The following is a 6,778-nucleotide window of genomic DNA, read 5'->3' as shown; positions in this document are numbered from 1 at the left end:
TTCCCCTCAATAAAAGATATGCTCTCAGCCCAAGCAGGCTGAGAGTTTTATCAAGTTCTAACTCTTGGTATCTCAGAATATGAGTTATTTGTAAATAGGGTCACTGCATATGTGGTTAAGATAAGGTCATACTGGAAGAATGGACCCTAATACAGTATGACTGGAATCCTTATAAGAAGAGAATGAACACAAACACATAGGCACAGGCAAGAACACCACACGATGACAGAGACAGAGATGAGAGTGATGCATCCACAAGCCAGGAAATGACCAGAATTGGCTGGCAACATCAGGAGCTCAGAGAAGACATGAAATAGATTCTCCCCTATAGCTTCCAGAGAGCCCATGGCCTTATTGACACCTTAATTTTGTATTTCTGGCCTCTAACACTGTGAAAAAAAAAAAAAGAATTGTTTCAAGCCACTTCAGTAGTGACACTTTATTATTATAGTTCCAGGAAACTAACAATGATTTTCAGCAACATTCTACAAAAGCAGGATGATAAGAAGTAACCTCTTCTAAAATTATGTTTGAGCACCTCACCAATTTTCTCATCAAAGGCCTCTTATTTTAATACTTAAATCATTTTGCTTTAAAGTGTCAAAAGTCATATATCCTCCACAAAATTGAATGTGTGCATTTCCATAATTTCTGGATTCCCTCTCCTGTTCAATTGATGTATTTTGTCTATCCTTTCTTCAACATCACGGTATCAGATATTACAGTTTCAAAGCTTTAAGTCTTGAAATCAGGGAGTATAGCTATTTAACTTTAGCTTTGATATTGCTTTAAAAAATTATTTTGCACCATCTAGGTTATATGTGTTTTTATATCAAATTTAAAATAAATTAGAACGTTTTTACCCTAAGCCTTTGACATTTTAATTGGGAGTGCATTGAATCTATAAATAAATATAGAAAGAATTCCCAAATTAACAATACGAAGTTTTCTATTTTCTATTCATGGTGTATATCTTCATATGTTTGGTTTCATCTAATTTCTCTCATTGACTTTATTGTTTTCAACCTACTGTTCTTGCACGTCTTGTTAAATTTCTCTAAAAGTATCTCATGTTGTTGGAAACCACAGTAAATAGCATTTATTTTAAAATTTATTTAAAATCTTAGTTGCTTATTTATAAAAATGCAATTGATTTTTATTGGCCTTATCTTTACAATATATGTAAACAATGGAAAGTATATAAAAATTTGGAATGAAACTTTATCTGGAAAATGAAACTAAACATTATGAACATACTTTTCATATATCTCATGTATAAAAATAATCTATAGTCACACAAATTTAATAAATTAACTTATTAATTTTAGAAGCTTTTTGTAGATGCTTTAAAACTGTATCTACGGAAAATCATGTCATCCTTGAATCATGACAGTATAGGTCTTCCTTTACAATCTCCATGCCATTACATTGTTTTTCTGTTTCCCTTATGATTACGATTGTTTCTCCCCTTACATCCCGATGAGGACCCCAGAACATGTGAAGAGAGGTGGTGGCACCAGCCATCTTTGCCTTGTTCCTAGCCTTAAAGAGAAAGTGCAGAGTCTTTCATAATTAGGGATGATATTAGCTGTGTGTGTGTATTTGTGTGCATGTGTGTGTTTGTAGATGCTGCTCCCAACCAGGCTGAGCGTTTTATCAAGAATGAGTGTAGTTTACAGTGAAATAATTTTTCTGCATCTGTTGAAACACTCAGTTTTTTGCCTTTATACCGTCGTGATGAATTACATTGTGTGATTTTCAAATGTTAAATGAGCATCGAATTCCTTGCACTTGATCATCATGTACTTTCTTTTCATATGTTGTTGAATTCAATTAATTATGTTTTTAGGATTTTTGCATATATGCTAATTAACAATCTTGGTCTGTAATTTCCCTTTTTTGTAATATCTCAATCTGCATCAAGTATCAGTAATACCGACTTTGTAAAATAATTTAAATTATGTTGTATAGGATTGTTATGATTCCATTCTTGTATGTTTGTTGTAAATCAGTAACAAAGCCTTATGTGTGCTTTCTTGGAATGATTTTAACTCAAAATTTAACATGTCTTTTATTTTATTTTTTTGAGACAGGGTCTCACGCTGTCACCCAGGCTGTAGTGCAGGGGCACAATTATAGCTCAGTGCAGCCTCGGCCTCCCAGGCTCTAGTGATCCTCACACCCCAGCCTCCTGAGTAGCTGGGACAACAGGCTCATGCTACCATTCCAGGCTAATTTTTGTATTTTTTGTAGCTACAGGGTTTCACCGTGTTGTCCAGGCTGGTCTCAGACTCCTGGGCTCAAGCTATTCACCTGCCTTGGCCTCACAAAATGCTGGGATTACAGGCAGAAGCCACCACACTCGGTCTTCAAAATTTAATTTCTGAGACTGATAGAAAAGTAGTGATGCCATCATCTATTATTTCTGTACTCATATTTCCAGCTCGTATCTTTCAAGTGATTTGTTCATTTTGTCTAAGTTATCAATTTTTTGACTTAATGCTGTTAGTAACATTCACTTACTGTTTCAAAATCTGTAGGATCTATGCTAATATCCACTCAGTCACTCCTAATATGTGTGGTTTGTGTCTTCCCTCTTTATTTCCAGATCGATCTGACAAGAGGTTTATTGATTTTATTGATCTTCTCAAACAACATGCTTTAATTTCATTACTTTTCTCTATTTTTTTCGTTTTAAAAATGTGATTAATATATGCTCTTTAATTTTGTCTTTTTTACATTTATTTTGGTTTTAAATTTCCATTACTTTGTCTAGTTTTTAAGGTAGCATCTTAAGTTCTTGATTTGTGATATTTTCCTTGTGCCATAAATTTCCCTCTAAGTTCTGCTTTATGCACTTCCCACAAATTGTGATATCTTTTTATCTTTATTTATAATTTTAAAATTCTAATCTCTTTATTGGTACTTGTGAGTTATTAAGAAATATTTTAATTACTTTCAAAATATTTTGGGATTTTCCAGATGCCTTTCTATTAGCATGCTCCAATTTAATTCCATGGCCATCACAGGATATGTTTAGTATGATTTAAATAATTTTAAATTTATTAAGACTTGTTTTATGGTGTGGAATATGATATATGTTGATAGTGTTCAAAGTAAACTTGAAAGAATATGGAATATGCTATTGACTGGTGGAGTTTTTATAAATATCATTCACATAGAGTCAATACGTAGTATTGGTCAAGTTTTCTGTACCTTTGCTAATGTCTAATAATTTTATCAATTATTCTGGCAAGGGTGCTGAAAATTTTGAATATAATTAAAGCATTTTTTCTATTTCTCTAGGTGGGAACATAAACTATTTTCTGCCCTATGTGACGTACAAGAGTTGCCCCATCTCTTACTTTGGGTTGTTTTTCCCAACATGTGGGTATTTTCCCCAAACATATTCTCTGATCAGTTCTCAGCAGAAAACTTGAACTGTATCCTCTGCTGATCTCCAAGGCACTTGTGTGCACTCACTCTCCCTCTCTTTTGCTTTAGCTCTCACACTCTCTTTCACACATCTCTCTAAACTCTCTGATACTCTGCCCTACAGACTCAAGCCTCCCTGGATTCTCAGCTCTATTGCCCGAAGCAGGTTTTCTTTTTTTGCACTGTGATCTACAAATATCCATATAATAAGTTATGGCAATCATAGATCTCACCTTATTTCTTTCCCTCTCTTTCAGAAAACACTATCCTTTACTGACTCAGGTCCAATGCCTGAAAACCACCATTTCTTATATTTTGTCATTTAAAAAAATGGTTTTTAGCAGGAAGGTATATCTTGTTCCTCATGGCCAGAAGAGAAAGATCCAATGATTACTTTTATATTTTGTCCAAATATTACTATTGTTATCTATGGAAGTGTTAAGTCCTGAATTTTTTTCTAAATGAAGGCATTTTCTCTTAAAAATATATGAGGCATTCAATAATAGTATGCTTGGTATTTTTAACTGAAACTTTTTATTTGCCCTTTACTTGAAAGTATTTCTCCTTCAATATTTTTCATCTAAGAATTCCATCTTGCTTAGCCATTTCACTGGGTCAAAAGCCTTGGACATATTCTTAATCTCTATTTCTTATGCACAACACACATATAATTAATCCATGAATTCTCTGAGCTCTACTTTAATATATGTCACTAATTCGACTAATTGTTGCCAATTCTACCACTATACTAATAGATTAATATTATCTCTTACCTTGACTACTACATGGTTCTACCCTTGCTTCTCCATAGAGTGTTCTCCAAACATTTTGAGTAATTTTTTTTTTTGAGAGGAATAAACAAGTAAAGTCAGTCTTCTGCTCAAAATCATTTAATGATTACCGTGTCTTAAGATGATATATATGATTTAGCTCTTGGATACCTCTCTCTTCTTATTTCCTGTTATTCTCCCTTTGGTCATTCCATTTTGCCATATTTCTATCTTTTAAACATAAGAAACCTGGTCCACTTCAGTGACTGTAGATATTCTTAGACCTCAGTTCTTTAATCATAACCCTGTAGAAATATTGCCTCTTCGGAGAAGTGTTCCCTGACCATTCTCACTAAAATGGTACTTCTCATGTCTCTTCCTTCCTTCCTTTCTTTTCTTTTTCTTTCTTTCCTTCTTTCTTTCTTTTTTTCTTTCTCTCTTTCTCTCTCTCTCTTCTTTCTTTCTTACTTTTTCTTCTTTCTCTCTCTCTTTCTTTCTTTCATTTATTGATCACATGTCTTCTCAACAAGTATGTAAACTTCATGAAGACAGGAGTTTTGTTTTTAGTATTATGTTGTCCCTGGCACCTAGAGAAGTGTCTGGTACTTATCAATTACTTGAGTAAAAAAAAATCCGTGAATAGATCAGTTGAGTAGGGATTTGTCAAATACTTTCCATCTGAAATTTTCTTTTCTGTTCAAAAGTCACCCTACCCAAGAAGGTCTTTCTGACTGCCCTAACTGAAATACAATTATATGTCCCTTTTTCACCCTGTAACCTGCTTTGTTTTCTATAGACTATATCAAATAAAGTGTAGCTTAGGTACTAAATCGCTTGTTTGTTGACTATGTTCTCCACTAGAAAATGATCTCAATGAGGATAGGAACTTCTCTACCTTTTTCTACATGAGTGCTTTGGATAGTATCTGATCAGATACATTATAGGCAATTAATGCTTTTAGACTGTAGAGTGAACCAAAATGCTTAAAATTCTTTGAAGAATTGCACAAAACATTATTGGGATTTAAAACCTGGGAAATTTTCCTAATGATTATTTTATTGTACTTTTTAAGCTAACTGTTTTTCATATTTACCTATTCCAAATTTTTGGTTTTCTAGTTATTAGTGTCTGCTTTTGTCTTCATGAATATCTTATTTATATATTCTTTACATACAAATTCACTTCTTAAATAAATAGGCAAAAGTAAAATGCCCCAAGGGATGAAGAAATTATGATATGTAAATGTATAGAAATGATTTGTAGAAATTACAAATTGGTGTTTAAAATCATTTAATGATAATGAAAATGGTTAATGGTAAATTATATAGTCAATGAGTAATTCAGAGTCTGATATATTTTCCAAACACAAAAATCTTGAACAGCATTATAACCAATATTTATCTCTATTGTGTGATTTTAAAGACATCTTCATTATCTTCTTTATAATTTTCATATTGTCCAACTTTTCAATAATCAATATGTATGATTTTACAATCAGGAGAAATAAAGCAGTCACTGATTTTTCTAAAAATTTATAAAATGGAAAATGTAAAACAGCATTACCTCCATCGAGTTTTACTCTCTGAAAAATATTAATTTATCCTTAGACTATGTAATTTAAAAAACATAATAAAATAGAAACAAGTAAATTTCATTTGGATGCAAGGAAAAGTATTCTTGTTAATGATAAAACAATGTCATCCACTAAAATAACAAGGTTAAGGACTTAGAGGTATCAAATGGCCAGACAGATATAGATAATTTCTGAATGATAACTCACAGCTTTGGTTACTTTTCTTTGGTAAACATGATCATAGGCACAAAGGTTCTGGTGATTCGTGTGCTTTTTTTTTTTAATGAGTTTGTATTTTAGACTTTGTAGGTTGCTTTTCATACATTATCTCTTAAACTGTGAGAAAGGTATTTTTACCATTGATAGAGGCAGGAGACAGGCAAATGCCTAGGAAATAGGGAAGGGCCCCCGGGAGAACCTCTGACCTGCTCCGCAAGTATTCACACCAGATGTTTTTGTGCAGATAAAGGAACCAGTGCAGGGTCTTGCCTGGGCATGCCCACAATGAACCGGAGGCGAACATGCACTGGAGGAATGGGGTAGAGCCACCAGGAATTTGTGCTGTATACTGGGGAGGAGCCTGGCCTCATCAACTCCTGTGTGGTGGCCTGGAATTCAATTTGTGAGGTGGAAACCTGAGTGCAGGACTGCTCTTTTTGTTGAGAGCTTTCCTTTTGCTTAATAAATTCTGGGCCGGGCACTTTGGCTCACACCTGTAATCCTAGCACTTTGGGAAGCCAAGGCTGGCGGATCACCTGAGGTCTGTTAGGTCCATTTGTTCCAAGGTGTAGTTTAAATCTATTGTTTTTTTTTTTTGACTTTCTGTCTTGATAAACTGTTTAGTGCTTGGAGCCTTTGTTCATATTTTCTTATTCTTTTTTCTTTTCTTTCTTGTATTGGGTTAGTTCGAAGTCCTTGTCTTCAAACTCTGAATTTCTTCTACTTGTTCAATTCTATTGCTGAGACTTTCCAGAGCATTTTGCATTTCTAAAAGTGTGTC

The 6,778-nt window shown here is 33.6% G+C and overlaps 2 annotated features.

Moving 5' to 3' along the window:
- Window positions 5,579–6,778: an enhancer, noted in NCBI's record as "MED14-independent group 3 enhancer chr4:168817975-168819174 (GRCh37/hg19 assembly coordinates)". NCBI's record gives its function as "activates an origin of replication core promoter dependent on BRD2, BRD4, P300/CBP and CDK7 cofactors, and independent of MED14, by STARR-seq in HCT116 cells {active_cell/tissue: HCT116}" and the evidence as "EXISTENCE:reporter gene assay evidence [ECO:0000049][PMID:35650434]".
- Window positions 5,859–6,616: an enhancer, noted in NCBI's record as "OCT4-NANOG-H3K27ac hESC enhancer chr4:168818137-168818894 (GRCh37/hg19 assembly coordinates)". NCBI's record gives its function as "activates a minimal SCP1, AML or CMV promoter by ChIP-STARR-seq in naive and primed H9 embryonic stem cells {active_cell/tissue: H9 hESC(naive and primed)}" and the evidence as "EXISTENCE:reporter gene assay evidence [ECO:0000049][PMID:30033119]".

The sequence above is a fragment of the Homo sapiens genome, chromosome 4 (genome assembly GCF_000001405.40).
Source record: "Homo sapiens chromosome 4, GRCh38.p14 Primary Assembly".
In the NCBI taxonomy this organism is placed as follows: domain Eukaryota; kingdom Metazoa; phylum Chordata; class Mammalia; order Primates; family Hominidae; genus Homo; species Homo sapiens.
Note: the sequence above shows the minus strand (reverse complement) of the source record. Positions and strands in the feature narration are given on the sequence as shown.